The 18057-nt window shown below is 43.9% G+C and overlaps 1 long non-coding RNA gene and 1 pseudogene across 1 annotated transcript in view; one reads left to right on the top strand and one right to left on the bottom strand.

Annotated features, from left to right (window-relative positions):
* NDUFA6-DT (NDUFA6 divergent transcript) overlaps positions 1-18057 on the top strand; it is a 34417-nt gene that overhangs the window by 10371 nt on the left and 5989 nt on the right. The gene's annotated exons all lie outside the window — the stretch shown is intronic.
* On the bottom strand, positions 6047-7731 carry OLA1P1 (OLA1 pseudogene 1; annotated as a pseudogene).

The raw sequence follows: 18057 nt of genomic DNA on the forward strand, positions 1-18057 counted from the left end.
TTTGTGAAATATATTTTATGCATCTATTGATATAATCATGGAATTTTTCTTTTTCTGTCTGTTAATATGGTTAATTTCATTTATTGGTTTTTGAATGTTGAACCAACCTTGCATTCCTGGGAGTAAATGCTATAGATAATGTTGTATATATTTACATATTATTTTCAATGTGATAAGATTTTGTTAATATTTGCATCTGTGTTTATGAGGATGTTAATCTGTATCATCTTTACCTGTTTTTTTTTTGTTGTTTGTTTGTTTTTGAGATGGAGTCTTGGTCTGTTGCCCAGGCTAGAGTGCAGTGGCGTGATCTTGGCTCACTGCAACCTCTGCCTCCTGGGTTCAAGTGATTTCCCTGCCTGAGCCTCCCGAGTAGCTGGCAGTACAGGTGCTTGCCACCATGCCCAGCTAAATTTTGTATTTTTAGTAGAGATGGGGTTTCATCGTGTTGGTCAGGCTGGACTCGAACTCCTGAACTCAAGTGATCCGCCTGCCTCAGCCTCCCAAAGTGCTGGGATTACAGGTGTGAGCCACTGTGCCTGGCCCATTAAGGTGCATATGTATTTAGGATTGTGATATTTTCCTGTTGGACTGATTTTTTTTTTTTTTTTGAGACAGAGTCTCGCTCTGTCTGCCCAGCCTGGAGTGCAGTGGCGTGATCTCAGCTCTCATCTCACTGCAAGCTCCGCCTCCTGGATTGATGCCATTCTCCTGCCTCAGCCTCCCGAGTAGCTGGGACTACAGGTGCCCACCACCACACCCGGCTAATTTTTTTGTATTTTTAGTAGAGACGGGGTTTCACCATGTTAGCCAGGATGGTCTTGATCTCCTGACCTCGTAATCCGCCCGTCTCAGCCTCCCAAAGTGCTGGGATTCCAGGTGTGAGCCACTGCGCCCGGCTGGACTGATCTTTTATCGTTATGTAATGTCCCTTTTTGTCTTTTTTTTTTTTTTTTTTTTTTTTTGAGACAGAGTCTCACTCTGTTGCCCAGGCTGGAGTGCAGTGGCGCAATCTCGGTTCACTGCAAGCTCCACCTCCCGGCTTCACACCATTCTCCTGCCTCAGCCTCCAGAGTAGCTGGGACTACAGGCACCCACCACCATGCCCAGCTCATTTTTTTGTATTTTTTTAGTAGAGACGGGGTTTCACCATGTTAGCCAGGATGGTCTCGATCTCCTGACCTCATGATCCACCCGCCTTGGCCTCCCGAAGTGCTGGGTTTACAGGTGTGAGCTACCACGCCTGGCCCCTTTTTGTCTTTTTTTTAACCGTTGTTGCTTTAAAGTCTGTTTGTGTGATATAGGAATAGCTACTCGGCAAGGCATGATGGCTCATGCCTGTAATCCCAGCACTTTGGGAGGCTGAGACAGGTGGATCACGAGGTCAGGAGATTGAGATCATCTTTGCCACCATTGTGAAACCCCATCTCTACTAAAAATACAAAAATTAGCTTGGTGTGGTGGCATGCCCCTGTAGTCCCAGCTACTCGGGAGGCTGAGGCAGGAGAATTGCTTGAACTCAGGAGGCAGAGGTTGCAGTGAGCCAAGTTAGCGCCACTGCATTCCAGCCTGGTGACAGAGCAAGACTTAGTCTCAGAAAAAAAAACAAAAACAAAAAAACATAGCTACTCTTGGCCAGCTCACATCTATTATCCTAGCACTTTGGGAGGCCAAGGCAGGCAGATCATGAGGTCAGGAGATTGAGACCATCCTGGCTAACATGGTGAAACCCTGTCTCTACTAAAAATACAAAAAATTTAGCTGGGCATGGTGGCGCATGCCTGTAGTCCCAACTACTTGGGAGGCTGAGGCAGGAGAATTGTTTGAACCCAGGAGGCAGAGGTTGCAGTGAGCCGAGATCGTGCCACTGCACTCCAGCCTGGGCAACAGAGCGAGACTCCATCTCAAAGAAAAAAAAAAAAGAATAGCTACTCGTACTTGCTTTTGGTTTCCATTTGCGTGCAGTATCTTTTTCTACCCCTTTACCTTAAGTTTATGTGAGTCCCTATGCATTAGATGAGTCTCTTGAAGACAGCAGATGGTTGGTTGGTGAATTTTATCCATTCTGTGTCTTTTAAGTGGAGCATTCAGGCCATTTACATTCAATGTTGGTATTGAATTATGAGATAGTGTTTTATTCATAGTGATAGTTGTGCTTTTTTAAATTGTGTTATTGTTTTATAAGCCTTTTAAAACATATACTTAAAGGAGGTTCTATTTTTGTTTCAAGATTTAGAACTCCTTTTGACATTTCTTGTAGTGCTGGCTTGCTAGTGGCAAATTCTCTCAGCATTTGTTTGTCTGAAAAAGACTTTATCTCTCCTCATTTATGAAGCATAGTTTTGCTGGATACAAAATTCTTGGCTGGCAATTATTTTGTTTGAGGAGGCTAAAGATAGGACCCCAATCCCTTCTGGCTTATAGGGTTTCTGCTGAGAAATCTGCTGTTAATCTGATAGGATTTCCATTGTAGGTTCCCTGATGCTTTTGCCTCATGGCTCTTAAGATGTTTCCCTTCATCTTGACTTTAGATAACCTGATGACTGTGTGCCTAGGTAATTATCTTTTTGCAATGAATTTTTCAGGTGTTCTTTCAGCTTCTTGTATTTAGATGTTTAGATCTCTGGTGAGAGCAAGGAACTTTTCCTTGATTATTCCCTCCAATAAGCTTTCTAAATGTTTAGATTTCTCTTCTTCCTGAGGAACACCAATTATTCTTAGGTCTGGCTGTTTAACGTAATCCCAAATTTCTTGGAAGCTTTGTTCATTTTTAAAAATTCATATTCGCCGGGCGCAGTGGCTCACGCCTGTAATCCCAGCACTTTGGGAGGCCGAGGCAGGCAGATCACAAGGTCAGGAGATCGAGACCATCCTGGCTAACACGGTGAAACCCCATCTCTACTAAAAATACAAAAAATAAGCCAGGTGTGGTGGCGGTCGCCTGTAGTCCCAGCTACTCAGGAGGCTGAGGTAGGAGAATGCTATGAACCCAGGAGACAGAGCTTGCAGTGAGCCGAGATCACGCCACTGCACTCCATCCAGCCTGGGCAACAGAGCGAGACTGTCTCAAAAAAAAAAAATTCTTTTTTATTTGTCTTTGTCTGGTTGAGTTACTTCAAATGCTTTGTCTTCAAGCTCTGAAGTTCTTTCTTCTACTTGTTGGAGATAAATGTTCAGTGCCACAAAGCGAAACCAGCACTCAGGCAAAAATTTTCTCAGCAAGGCAATTTACTTCTGCAGAAGGGTGCTGCTTGTGTCAATCACGATTGCAAGAGCACACTGAACAAAGGAAAGCAGGGGTTTTTATTCCTAATGCAGTCCCTGCCTCTTTGTCATTCCTCCATGGGCTGTGGTTGGACCGCACAATCTAAACTGACCCAATTGGCTATTTGTGAATACTTTCCCAAATAAGGAAGGGAAGGGAAATGTGAGTTACAATGGTGGGATGTGCGGTTTCAAAGGGAGGAACGGGTGAAGAGTGGGTAACCAAGGGAACAGATGTGAGTTATTGATTAGGACTGACAGGAAAGTTGTTTACAGTTACAGTAACTAGGGGCAAGGAGGCATAGAGAACAAGAAAGTTGAGTTTGAGAACAAAGAACAAGGAAGTTAACAGGCTAAACCTTTGAAGAATTTTATTGTATCCTACAATTTCCCCCTTTTAATTTTTATAGTTCTTCCTCTTCAAACCTTTTTAAGATGTCTTGGCTTTGCTGTTTGACTTGATCGTCTGAAAGGAAACGCTTATCTGAATAAGGTGGAGGAGAGCTAAGGGAGATTTTAGTAAGTGCTGTTTCTATAAGCCTTTGTACTAGCCCATGGTTGCATGGTGTGACACAACACCCAACAAGAATGAGTACACCTATTATGACTGCAAGAGAAGTAAGAATTGAGGCTATGATTCCTTTCTATTTACCAAACCACCTGTCTAGCCATCCTGAAGAAGGGTTATTGACTCCAGAATTTTTAGCTAATTCATTAGATAAAATGGTAAGTCCTTGTAAGGCTTTTGTTATGCTCCCATCTGGGGCAGTATGGTTTGGGATGAAGGTACGACACTGAGTTTTAATCATAACACAAACTCTACCTTTTTCAGCTAGTATCATGCCTAGGGCCATTCTGTTTTCCTAAGCCATCTGGCTAGTCAGCCCTAACTCCTCAGCTATTCCTTTGACAGCATCCCTGGTATAATTAATAAACTGCTGTTGGTTATAATAGATGTAATTTATACAGTCTACATTTTTATTAATAGTTACCCATGGAAATATTGATTCAAATCCTGCAGACTATTTGGTCCCGGGCTTTTAATTTATCAGGTACTCCCCATGGGACTCCAGTTGCATCTAAATAAACTTGAGAGTCAAAAAACCTATAAGGGGCTTCTCTTATTTTATGGTGTTGTGGCTTTTCTTTTTCTGGCTGATGAAACGCCAGGGTGAAAGGGATAGCCAAATGGACAAGAGTGCAGGTACCACTCCAGTTACTTGGCAGAGTGTCCAGTAAGGGTCCGCCACAATACCACCATACATCTTCTTGAGGATGACTAAGGGCAGACTGATGGGTAAGCTCTTGGAAAGGCTTAAGCTCACTGCATCCTGTTAAGCTTCCAAGGAACACCAAGTTTTCCCCTTGTCGTGAGAGACAGGACGTGAAATTGACATTGGGAGCCAGAAGCTGGATGGCCCTCTGGGGCTGACCCGCAGGATATTGAACTTTGGGATAGAGCAAAGAGAGAGCTTGGCATGATTGATTGCCCCAAGCTATGGAATCCTGGAAGAGAGCTACCATGCTGCCCATGCCTGGTTGACTGGGGGACCAGCCGAGTGTAAAGGGGTCTATCTGGGTCTCTGGCTGGCCGTGAGCACAAGCATAACAATTGCTTTTGTTTCATGTGCGGACAGAATATTTGGTCCATTCCAACCAGGCATTTGCATCTTGATATTTTGTTTCAATTGCTAAAGTTTGCCTTAGATCATTTACTTCTACAATATCTACTTTAGTCTTATCATTGGGTATAGAAGGTATGGCAGTCTGATTAGAAGAAGGCTTAGAAGGAGAAGAGAGGGAAGAGGGTGAAGAGGATGAGGGATTAATAAAACGCATTTCAAAAGACCCTATGAGGTCTGTGCCGCGTTGGTCCCTATGCCATAGAAGCGACTCAAAGTAGGTCTAGAGGGTCGGTAGAGGCCGGAGTGAGAGTAGAAATCTGCACTGGATTACACTGGTTATACTGAAAATCGAGGGGAGGGGTGCTTCCTTTAGTAAAGTGAATGTATGATTTTAAGTATATACAGCCACATGTTGATGAGGTCCAGCCTTGATACTCAGTTGTCCACAGAACATCATTCCAGCTATGGCAGACCTGTTTCCCTATATTTTATGAGGAGCAAGAGTCTTGGTAGCGGGAGCCTTTTATTTTAAAGTGGCAGAGATACTTTTCTAAGGCTGAGAGTTGCCTTTGACTTTGGAGATCTCTACAGGGTATGACTAAACAGGCATCAAACATAATAACTTGGGGTGAGTTTGATTTAGTCACATTGATAACAAGGTGGTCAGCAACAGAATGAGGAAAGAAGAAAGAGTAATAGAGTAGACGAAAGAGAGTTAAACTTTTCTTAGCTTTAGTTTGAGGGGGTTTTCCCCTGGGATAATGGCCCATGACTCTGGAGGTGACAGTGCTTTCTTGACTCAGGTGTGATGGGTCTATCCTTTTTCTGCTGTCCGGACTGCAGTTTCAGTGGTTAGAAGCACCAGGTAAGGTCCTTCCCAGGCTGGCTCAAGTTTCTCCTCTTTTCAGCTCTTGATAAGGACGTGATCCCCAGGCTGATGTTGATGTACTGGGAACTCCAGAGGCAGAGCCTGTGCTAGGAGACCTTTGGTTTTAAGAAAAGAGAAAGTAGGGGAGAGACTAAGAATATAATTCCTGAGGAACTGGTGTTTTTGGAACATCAGCAGTGGAGTGTAAATAAGGCAATCCATAGAGCATCTTGTAAGGGGAAAGGCCAGTATCTTTTCGAGGAGCAGTTTGGATTCTTTTTTTTTTATTTGGTTTTGTCAAATGTTTTATTGAGTGTAGACATCTGGAGTACTATAAAACATGCATTATCTGTAGATTCAAAAAGGAGCAAGCCACATTGTTCTCACTGTCAAATGTGTTAGGCTTGGCATACATGATGGAGATTAATGAAGTATCATGAGAGTAACATGGTTCTTGAAAAGCTTCTATAATTTGGAGTAGGGTCTTAATCACATGAAAAGCAAAGGTGTTCACATTTAGTGAACTTGCATTTCATTGGGGGGAGAGGGTACACAGTATTTTAATTTTAAAACAAAAATAATTTGTTTGTCAAAGATTCCCATCTCCCCAACTTTATTTGTCCCATTGGTTTTCAGAAATTTTAATTTTTAAAAAATCAGATGCCTTTTGGAAGTTGTATGTTTATCTGAGCAGTAACTAAATTTTATTTCTTCTTCAGTTGTTAAGGTGTGTTAAATTTGAAGAAGATAATATCTCCATCTTCAACAATATAATTTCTGCCTTGTTGTCTGTACTTTCCAGCAGCCTTGACTGCATTTTCAGAACCTTCCTCTTTAAAATCTTCATATTTCATTACTTCAGCCATAATGAATCCCTTTTCAAAATCTGTGTGAATCTTTCCTGCAGCCTGAGGAGCCTTAGTCCCTTTCCTGATGGTCCGTGCACGCACTTCATCTGGGCCTGCAGTGAAAAAGTATTTTAGTTGGAGTGCTGCAAACCCAGCCTTAATGATCTTTGGCAAAGCACTTTGTGTCATGTTCGCTTCCAGATACTGCTGTCTCTCCTCAGCACTCAATTCTTGCAACTTGAGTTCCAAGGCCCCACTAAAAGGAATGACCAAGGCACCTGGGTCATACTTGTCCACCCACTCTTTAATTTTTATCAGCCATTTGTTTTTCTTTCTAATGTAGTCTTTTTCAGAAAGATTAACCAAGTAGACCATTGGTTTTGAAGTCAAAAATAAGTGTTTATTCAACACTTCAATCTCTTTGTCATTCCAATCATGATAGAAGCGAACAGGTTCTTTTGATCTATAACCCAGGATTTTACTTTGCACATTATATCATATTTGGGTTTTAGTTTTTTATCTCCTCCTCTCACAGCCACCTTTTCTAGTTTATCTATAATGGGCCCAGTCATTCCTCATCTTTAAGCTGAAGCTCTTCATGTATTATTTCTATATCTCGAATAGGATCTACACTTTCTTCAACATGTGTGATATCATCATCTTCAAAAGCACGTGTTAGATGAAAGATGCCATCACAAGCACTAAAATGAGATAAAAAAGCATTCCCCAGGCCCTGCCCATTGTGAGCTCCTTTCACAAGGCCAGCAATATCCACTACATTTAGAAAGGCAGGAATTTTGCTTGCTGGTTTGTGATATTGGCAAAGAAAGTCAAACCTTTCATCTGGCACAGGTACTCTGCTCTCATTAGGATCAATAGTGCAGAATGGGAAGTTTTCTGCTGAAGCCTGACTATTGGTTAATACATTGAAGAAAGTAGATTTCCCAACATTTGGCAATCCAACAATACCAATTTTCAGTGAGGTTCCAAATCTTCCAATGATTGGGGGTGGTTTAATTCCATCACCTCCCTTTTGAGGGGGCATCGTGCTCAGCCTGGGCTATGACACGGGGTCCCAGTAGCAGCGAGAGAAAGGTCCTGCCGGCAGCCAGAGGCGGGGAGGAAGGAGGAGAGAACGCAGGCCCGGCCCCTCCGCCGAGCGGCATGCCGCACTACGGCGGCGACAGCGGTGGAACCGCCGTTTGGATTCTTAACAGGGCAATAGGAAGATATTTGATCCCTGGCAACCGAATCTATAGAACTAACTTGGTTAAATGGTTCTTTAAGGTCTGATTCATCCTTTCTACTCTCCCTGATGAAGGTGGGTGCCAAGGAGTATGATATTTCCATCTAATGTCTAGCGCTTAGGATAGCTTTTTAATGATATGTGCTATGAAATAGGTTTCACTGTCTGAGTCAATATTTTCTATTAGCCCAAACCTGGGCACTATATTTTCAATTAATGCTTTAACTACATGATTGGCCATTGCATTTGAAAAGGGAATAGCTTCGACCCAGTGAGTGAGGTGATCTGCTATTACTAAGTACTTTAGGCAACCGATTGGGGGCATTTCAATGTAATCAGTTTGAACACTTTGGAATGGTCTTAGCCCTGAATCCCTCCCCGCCCAGGGATGATTTCTTTATAACTTGTTTGTTGGTTTCCTTACATGTTAAGCAACTATCCATAACCTGTTTGGCTAGGGTATATACCCATAAACCCTGAGAACTGTGTCACACATGGCTTGGGGTCCCCAGTGTGTCCCTTGATGCAGGTGGGTAGGATTTCTCTCATGAGCGGTTTGAATAGCATTTCTCTTTGATCTGGTAACACCCATTTTCCTTCTGAGTTTTCTTTGGCTCCATTTTTATTAATTTTTCCTTTTCTGCAGCAGACAAGGTAGGGGTTGCAGCAGGGGGAGGAAGACGAGGGGTTAAGTGAAAGGTGTTTCAGATGAAATGGCAGCCTGTTTAGCCACTTGATCTGCAAGGTTATTTCCCTGACTTGTAAAGGAAAAGTCGTTTTGGTGTCCGGGGACATGTACAATGGCTATTTCTTCTGGCAACTGGAGATTGTTTAAAACATGGACGATTAGCTCCTCGTGGGTAAGATATTTTGGCCTTTAGTTTTTTTTTGTTTTTTGGTGTTTTTTTGAGACGGAGTCTTGCTCTGTCACCCAGGCTGGAGTGCAGTGGCACGATCTCAGCTCATTGCAAGTTCCACCTCCCGGGTTCACGCCATTCTCCTGCCTCAGCCTCCTGAGTAGCTGGGACTACAGGATCCCGCTACCACACCTGGCTAATTTTTTTGTATTTTTAGTAGAGACGGGGTTTCACCATGTTAGCCAGGATGGTCTTGATCTCCTGACCTCGTGATCCGCCCACCTCAGCCTCCCAAAGTGCTGGGATTACAGGCATGAGCCACCGCGCCTGGCCTGGCCTTTAGTATTAATAAGACCTTGCTCAGCCCAAATTTTTCCAAATATATGAGCTACTCCAAAAATGTATTTAGAATCAGTATGAATAGTTCCTTCCTTGCTCTGTAAGTGTTTTAAAACCTGGCTGAGTGCAAATAGTTCACATGCTTTGGCAGACCAACTATTGGGCAACCTTCCTGACTCTGTTTCTTCAAGAGTTTCTCCATCAATTACTGAATACCCATTGTATTTTTCTCCTTTAATTGCTTGGGATCAACCATCTATAAATAAGTGTCACCCCATTTTGAAAGGGGTCTCTCTTAGATCCGGCCTGACCTTTGTTTGGTAGTCAGTTAGATCTAGACATAAGTGTTCTCTTTTTAGATTTGGGTCCCCTGTTAAGAAACCTCTCGGATTGAGTGAGTTATCAGTAGTCAAGGTTAAATCATCTTTTTAGTAAAATAGCCTCCTATTTTAAGATTCTGGAGTCAGTGAGCCACCTTCCTGCTTTTTTATTTAAAATAGCTCTAACTTGGTGGGGTGTGCTTACAGTCAATTTCCCCCCAAAGATTAATTTTCTACTTTCTTCAACTAATACTGCTGTAGCTGCAACGAATTGGATGCACTGAGGCTACCCACAGGTGACTGGGTCTAAAATTTTTGATAGGAAGGCTACGGGCTGCCGGTGACCACCATGTTCTTGAGTAAGAACCCCTAAAGCTACCCCGTTATTTACATTAACAAAAAGATGAAATGGCTTTTCTAGGGAAGCTAAGGCTAAGACAGGGGCAGTTATGAGTTTGTATTTCAGCTCTTCAACCTGATTGACTTCCTCAGAAGTCCACAGGAGACGGTCCAGTTTCCACTGGGTAAGCTTTTCATATAAAAGTTTACTTTTTAGGGCATATGAGTCAATCCATAAGCATCAATATCCAACTAATCCTAGAAATTTTCTGAGTTATTGCTTAGTTTGAGGCAAGGGTAAGGACACGATGCCTTCAACTCGTTCAGGTCCTATCCTTTGCTTACCTGCACTTATTAAGTGGCCTAAATATTTAACTTCAGGCTCCACATACTGAAGCTTTCCCTTTAAGAACCATAACCCCTCGAACTCCAGATGGTTAAGGATATGTGTAGAGAAGCCAGCTACTTTCTCTACATCTTCAACAGATACGAGAATATCATCCATGTACTGGAGCAGGCATATTTGCTTTGGGATGACAACTTTTTCTAACACTTGTTCTAAAATTTGACCAAAAAGGTTTGGAGAGTCTGTAAACCCTTGAGGTAAAACTGTCCATCAATAATGTTGTTTTCGCCCTGAATGGGGATCCTACCACTCAAAAGCAAATATGTCTCAGCTGTCTTCAGCCAAGGGGCATGCCCAGAAGGCATCTTTTAAATCTATTACTGTAAACAACTGATGGTTTTTTGGAATTTTGCTGAGAATGGTGTATGGGTTGGGGACAACAGGATGGTTAGTTTGGACTATTTGATGGCTCTAAGATCTTGTACCAAGTCGGTATGACGCATCTAATTTCTTGACTGGCAATATTGGAGTGTTATACGGGGACATACAGGGTTCAAGGAGCCCATCTTTAATAAGACTTTCAATTATAGGCTTTAATCCTATCCTGCCCTCTAGGGGTTTGGGGTATTGTTTCCTCCTTACTACTTCCCTGGGGATTCTTAACTTGATGTGGATTGGAGGGATTCAGAGTTTCTCCCGGTTTCCTTCCCTTGACCAGACACTAGGATTAATGCATTTTTCATCTGTGGTGGTGAGTAGGTTTAATGAGGTAAAGAATCCTTTAGGACCAACTTGTAAGCCTGTGCCTAATTCTAGCATTAAGTCTCTTCCTAATAGATTAGTTTCTGCCTCAGGGATCAACAAAAATTGGATATGAGTCAGCCGATCTTGGTATTTAACTTCTGTACTTTCTAAGATTTTTGCTTTAAATCCTTCTCCTTTTACCCCAGAGACTAAAAGTTCTTCTGAAGAGCAGGCAATGTTGGATGGGGGGAAGCAAATGGAGGAGCGAGCCACTCCTGAATTGACTAAAAGGTGATAAGCTCATGTTTGGTTCCCACCTGTAAATTTATCAAGGGCTCCTGGTGGGACTCGAGATAAACAGAGCCCCTGACCCCCCTGTTCTTCCTCAAAAGTCATGAGTTGAAGGGCTTCTTTCTCCTTTTCCAGTTTGGGACATTCTCTTTTGAAGTGGCCTGCCCTTCAAACGGTCTGGACGGACCGTTTATAGTTTCTGGCCCCCTGGAAGCTTTGTTTAGAAGCATAAACGAGGGTCTGGACCTTTTATAGTTTCTGGCCCCCTGGAAGCTTTGTTTAGAAGCATAAACGAGGGTCTGGACCTTTTATAGTTTCTGGCCCCCTGGAAGCTTTGTTTAGAAGCATAAACGAGGGTCTGGACCTTTTATAGTTTCTGGCCCCCTGGAAGCTTTGTTTAGAAGCATAAATGAGGGTCTGGACCTTTTATAGTTTCTGGCCCCCTGGAAGCTTTGTTTAGAAGCATAAACGAGGGTCTGGACCTTTTATAGTTTCTGGCCCCCTGGAAGCTTTGTTTAGAAGCATAAATGAGGGTCTGGACCGTCTATCGTTTCTGGCCCCCTGGAAGCTTTGTTTAGAAGCATGTGGGTGTGGGGCCACCTGCTGGAAAGTGGATAACGTGAGTTTTTGCCTTTTGTTTTTGCTTCTTTCCTCACATATATTTTTTGAGCTTCTCCCAGAAGTTCACTTAGAGGTTGGTTTTCCCAGTCTTCTAATTTTTGTAACTTTTTTGAAATATCTGGCCAACTTGTAGTGACAAAATGGAGCTTTAACACTCCCTGTCCAAGGAGATCTTCCAAATTTAGGCCTGCATATTGTCTTGTTTGGTCCTTTATTCTTGTCTAGAAATTTCATAGGCCCCCTCATCTTTTTCCTATTGTATATCAAATGCTTTAGAGAGGTTTTGGGTTCAGGGTACTGATTCCCTAATTCCCTTTATTATCATTTCCCTTAGGTCTTGCATATTTTCCCAGTGAGCTGCATTAATATCGTCCCACCGGGGGTCTTGGGTGGGAAACTTTTGATCTGCGGTAGGAATGTTTGACCAGGAGGGTGTTCGTGTTCCCAAATTGCCATAGCAGCCCTACAGATCATGCTTCTTTCCTCCCCTGAAAAGAGGACGCAGGCCGGGCGCGGTGGCTCACGCCTGTAATCCCAGCACTTTGGGAGGCCGAGGCGGGTGGATCATGAGGTCAGGAGATCGAGACCATCCTGGCTAACAAGGTGAAACCCCGTCTCTACTAAAAATACAAAAAAAATTAGCCGGGCGCAGTGGCGGGCGCCTGTAGTCCCAGCTACTCGGGAGGCTGAGGCAGGAGAATGGCGTGAACCCGGGAAGCGGAGCTTGCAGTGAGCCGAGATTGCGCCACTGCAGTCCGCAGTCCCGCCTGGGCGACAGAGCGAGACTCCGTCTCAAAAAAAAAAAAAAAAAAAAAGAAAAGAGGACGCCTAGGATGGACATTAACTCCACCCAAGTGTATAACTGAGGTCCTAAGAATTGATCAACCTGATCTGTTACCCAATAAGGTCATCCAATAACGGCTTAAGTTCCTTCTTCAAACTTCAGACCTCTGAACTGGTTAAGGGAGCATTCACAAAATTAATAGCCCCCCTGTCCTTGTGGCACCTCTTTTAAGGGGAAGAGAGTTGGGGCTGACTCCATAGATGTGGAGGGAAATGGGAAATTTTGGATATCTTTTTTACATTGTTCTACCTCACGTTGGAGTCCTTTTAGGGAGGGGTACTTAGGCTGAGAAGGAACAGGCTAATGGGATGGTGATTCCCAAGAATCAGGATTGTAAGGAGGAGGAATAACATGAGCAGGAGAAGGATCTGGAGCAGGAACGGGGACAGCAGCTGCTACCTGAGGGGAAGGGTTAGGGGCACTGAGCGTGGGGGAAGATGGTTTAGAGGATCCCATGTGCTGGAGTCTTTAGGCATGGGGACTGGCTTTTCTCACTCTTCAGTTTGAGGTGCTAGATTGGGTTTTTCCCTAGTTGTCTTTAAGGGAAAGAGGAGGACAGGTCCCTGCCTCCAACAAAGAGCATAGGCCAATTCTTCTTGAGAAACTGGACTTTTATCATTTACATATTGAATTAGAAGTTGACACATCACATCCTTGTTCAACCCAAACTTTGACCAAAAGATTGAGGGTTTGAGGATGGGTCCCTGAGTCCAAATAAAACAGCAATTGTTTGTCATTTGTTGCTTTTTCTTATGTTTAGTTCTCTCATTATCTTTCCAATATTTTAACATGAGACCTAGGGGACTAACAGCAGGAATATCTTTATTGCTGTCTTTATCCTTTTTACTCCGTGTCCTGCTTGGGGTGTTTCCCATGTTGGGTCCTAGTTAGGCTCAGTCCCTCATATTAGAGATTTCTTGCCTATCCTTTTCTGGAGGCTTGCTGAGGCTCAATCCCTCGTATTAGAGATTTCTTGCCTCTCCTTTTCTGGAGGCTTATTGAGGCTCAATTCCTCATACTAGAGATTTCTATCCTTTAGCCCCACCTGCTGGAGGCTCCTTGCACCCTTCTTTTGCTTCGTCCACTCTGGTCGCTTCCCGGAGGGGAATTTAGGTCCCTCTTACCTTTGGCACGCCCATATAAACCCCATGGCAGGATCTGTCCTAAGCCATATGAGGTGACCATGGAACCTCAGATAGGACACACTCATTCCGCACAGCAGTAGTGCTTAGTACCATTCACACAAGCAGCACCGCAAGCAGTAATGCTTGTGATCATTCATACACACTTTCAATCTCCAGAATATCTTGACCACCAAGGAAATGCTTTGTCACCCCTGTGACGTTTCTTACCTTGGTCTGTGCACAAAGTTACCTGGTCACCATGGTGTTGCAAGCCTTTTTTTCCCCACATTGCTGAGAGTCCGGATTTATTCGTCACACCGGGTGGGTTCCGATCCCTCACCCTGAGGCCACCGCAACGAGGCAGTGGGATGCGTCTCCTTATGAGAGGTGACCAGAGACCCCTTCCCTGGAGGAGAATGGGAATCCTGGATGAGCCCCAGATTTGTTGGAGATAAATGCTCAGTGCTGCAAAGTGAAACCAGCACTGAGGCGAAAGTTTTCTCAGCAAGGCAGTTTACTTCTGCAGAAGGGTGCTGCTTGTGTCAATCACGATTGCAAGAGCACACTGAACAAAGGAAAGCAGGGGTTTTTATTCCTAATGCAATCCCTCCCTCTGTGTCACTCCTTCATGGGCTGTGGTTGGACTGCACAATCTAAACTGACCCGACTGGCTATTTGTGAATACTTTCCCAAATAAGGAAGGGAAGGGAAATGTGAGTTACAGTGGTGGGACGTGCGGTTTCGAAGGGAGGAAGGGGTGAAGAGTGGGTAACCAAGGGAACAGATGTGAGTTATTGATTAGAACTGACAGGAAGGTTGTTTACAGTTACAGTAACTAGGGGCAAGGAGGCATAGAGAACAAGAAAGTTGAGTTTGAGAACAAAGAACAAGGAAGTTAACAGGCTAAACCTTTGAAGAGGAATTTTATTGTATCCTACATACTTGTTCTAGTCTGTTGTTGACACTTTCCAGTGCATTTTTTATTTCTTTAAGTGTGTCTTCCATTTGCAGAAATTGTGATTTTTTTTTCTTTATAATATCTGTTTCTCTGGAGAATTTTTCATCCATAGCCTGTATTTTTTTTGTTGTCTTTTTCTTTCTTTCTTTCTTTCCTTTTTGAGACTCTGAGCACTCTGTTGCTCACAGTGCAGTGGTGCAATCTCAGCTCACTGCAACCTCTGGCTCCTGGGTTCACGCAATCCCCCTGCCTCAGTCTCCCAAATAGCTGGTATTACAGGCACGCACCACCATGCCTGGCTGATTTTTGTATTTTTAGTAGAGATGGGGTTTCACTGTGTTGGCCAGGCTGGTCTGAAACTCCTGACCTCAAGTGATCAGCCCGCCTCAGCCTTCCAAAGTGCTGGGTTTACAGGTGTGAGCCACTGCGCCTGGCCAATCCATAGCCTGTATTGTTTTTTACATTTCTTTGTTTTCACTTTTCTCTGGTCTCTCCTTGAGTAGTTTAATAATCAACCATCTGAATTGTTTATCTGGCAATTCAGAGATTTCTTCTTGATTTGCATTCATTGCTGGGGAGCCAGTATGGTCTTTTGGAGGTGTTATAGAACCTTGTTTTGTCATATTACAATTTTTCTGATTTCTTCTCACTTGGGTAGACTATTTCAGGGGAAAAATCTGGAACTCAGGGGCTACTGTTCAGATTCTTTTGTCCCACAAAGTGACCCCTTGATGTGATGCATTCTCACTTCCCCTAGGGATGGAGCTTCGTGAGAGCCAGACTGTAGTGATTGCTATTGCTCTTCTGGGTCCAGCCACCCAGTGGGGCTACCAGGTTCCAGGCTGGTGCTGAGGAATGTCTGCAAAGAGTCCTGTGATGTGATCCGTCTTTAGCTCTCCTGGCCATGGACACCAGCACCTGCCCTGGTGGAGGTGGGAGGGGAGTAAAGTAGACTGTGAGTGTGAGAGTCCTTGCTTGTAGTTTTGTTTACTGTGCTGGCTTTCTCAAATGCTGGTTATGCTAGCAGTGAAGTTGTCACGTGGACAGACTCAGGAGCTCTGGTTAGCCAGGATGTTGAAAGCAGTGGAATTAGCTGTTTCTCATTTCTTGGAGCAGGGTTATTCTGTTGTGAGTTGCTGTAATGTCCTGACTTGGTTGGCCTCCAGCCAGGAGGTGGCGCTTTCAAGAGAACACCAGCTGCAATACTGGAAGGGGGATATAAGCTTGCCCTAAGTTGGCCAGGATAAGTATTAGGATTTCTCAGGTGATGGACAGGGCCATAAAGCTCCCAAGAGTTTATGGCTTTTGTGATCAGCTACCAGGGCGGGTAGAGAAATACTGTCAGGTTGGGGCAGGGTTAGGTGAGTCTGAGCTCAGACTCTTTCTGGGAATCTGTTACTGATTTGTAATTTTTAATTCCACAGTGTTTGAAGGACATACTTGAAATAAATTTAAAATCCATTGAGATTTGTTTCGTGGTCCAGAATATGGCCTATCTTGGTGAATGTTTCATGTGTATGTGAAACTGAGGCATCCATCCCTCAGTTTCAACCACCCATAGATTTGTAATTATTGTTACATTTACAGAAATTTGCAGGAAGGTAGAAGTTATTGTCTTGAACCATAAAATGTCTGTTTGAAGTCTTTGAGCTCCTCAAGGGTAGGCTGTATGTCCTGTTTACCTTTGATCCTCTCAGCATAATGCTTGGACCAAAATGGAAGCTCAGCAGACACTGGTTGAATGAATGAATAGATGACATTCAATTGTTAGGCTGTGTTCTTGTTTTGGATTTAGAAAATATGCTTATTGTGTTATGCAGTAAGACTGAGTCTTGGCTGGGTGCAGTGGCTTACGCCTGTAATCTCAATACTTTGGGAGGCCGAGGCGGGTGGATCACTTGACGCCAGGAGTTTGAGACCAGCCTGGCCAACATGACAAGACCCTGTCTTTACTAAAAATACAAAAAAATTAGCTGGGCATGGTGATGCACACCTGTAATCCCAGCCACTCGGTAGCCTGAGGCATGAGAATCTCTTGAACCTGAGAGGTGGAGGTTGCAGTGAGCCATGATCATGCCACTGCACTCCAGCCTGGGCAACAGATCAAGACTCAGTCTTAAAGACAAAAAAAAAATACTGAGTCTTACACACTTTTGCATCTTTGTGTCTCTATGGGTCTTCACACAGAGCTTGGCACATTGTAGCTGCTCAGTCAGCACTGTTTGTGCTGAATTGAAACAATGAGATATGTACAAAGGGGCTGTCTCTCACTACTGGGGATTTAAAGCCACCCCGAGGCATTTGACAAGCTGTTCTGGCCAAGGTTGAAGAGGTTGTCCTGTCATAAAGCCCCCCTAAGACACGATGTCACACATAGACACCACTCTCTGTGCGAAAGGGGGGGCCTGTGCACTGAACTCCCAGACTTAGCTGGGCCTCAGTGCTCTTCTTGGGTTTGGTCATAGAGCCCAAGAGGAGGTGGATAAGCTGCCTGACACTGATATGGTAAAAGGATTATCTGCAAATTTCTAGCGTCATCAAGACTGGCCTCTTTGGTAAGCAGGCCTAAAAGGCTGCCCTCAATAAACCACCCAAGCAGGTGAAAATTATCTTTTTACCCCAAGCCTACCTTTTCTACATCCTTTTCTACTTGACATGCCCCTTCTACTCCTCTTCTCTCCTTTAGGACTCATTCTCTCTCCTTTCCTCCTCTAAACCTCCTCCCAGAAAAAGACCTGATAACTTCACTTACACCGGGTTATAGATGACTAACAAAGCTTACTATTGAATATGTTGCTAGTAGAAATCTGAATAAGATACAGCAACTTTTCAACTCTGATCATGGCTTTAAGCACTAGGATGAACCACAGCCATGTAATCATTCATTTGGTTACTTAGCTCTTGCTGTGTCCCACGCATAGGGGCAGCTACTGGGGGTTTGACAGTGGACGGACCTAAAGTGGTCCCTCAGTCAGGGGACAGTACAGTACCCTAAGAGCACTGAGGAGGGCCACCCCACGTGAACTCAGGTAGTCAGGGGAGCCCTCCTGAAAGCCATGGAGAAACACATTCTAGGTAGATAACAGCACATGCAAAGGCCTAGAAGTGAGTGTCTGAGGTGGAAGTTCAGAGTCTTTGTCGTCAGCAGGACATGGAGCAACACTTGACACTGAGATTTAGGCAGAGAGAGACAGAGAGACAAAGAGAGATAGAGAGACAGAAACAGATACAGAGACAGAGTTAGAGATACAGAGAGATAGACAGAGACAGAGACAGAGATAGAGACAGAGCTAGAGATACAGAGAGAGACAGAGATACAGAGAGAGAGACAGATAGAGATACACAGAGAGAGGCAGAGACAGAAATAGAGACTGAGAGAGGCAGAGACAGAAATAGAGACTGAGAGAGGCAGAGACAGAAAGA

This window comes from Homo sapiens, chromosome 22 (assembly GCF_000001405.40).
Source record: "Homo sapiens chromosome 22, GRCh38.p14 Primary Assembly".
Taxonomy (NCBI): Eukaryota; Metazoa; Chordata; class Mammalia; order Primates; family Hominidae; genus Homo; species Homo sapiens.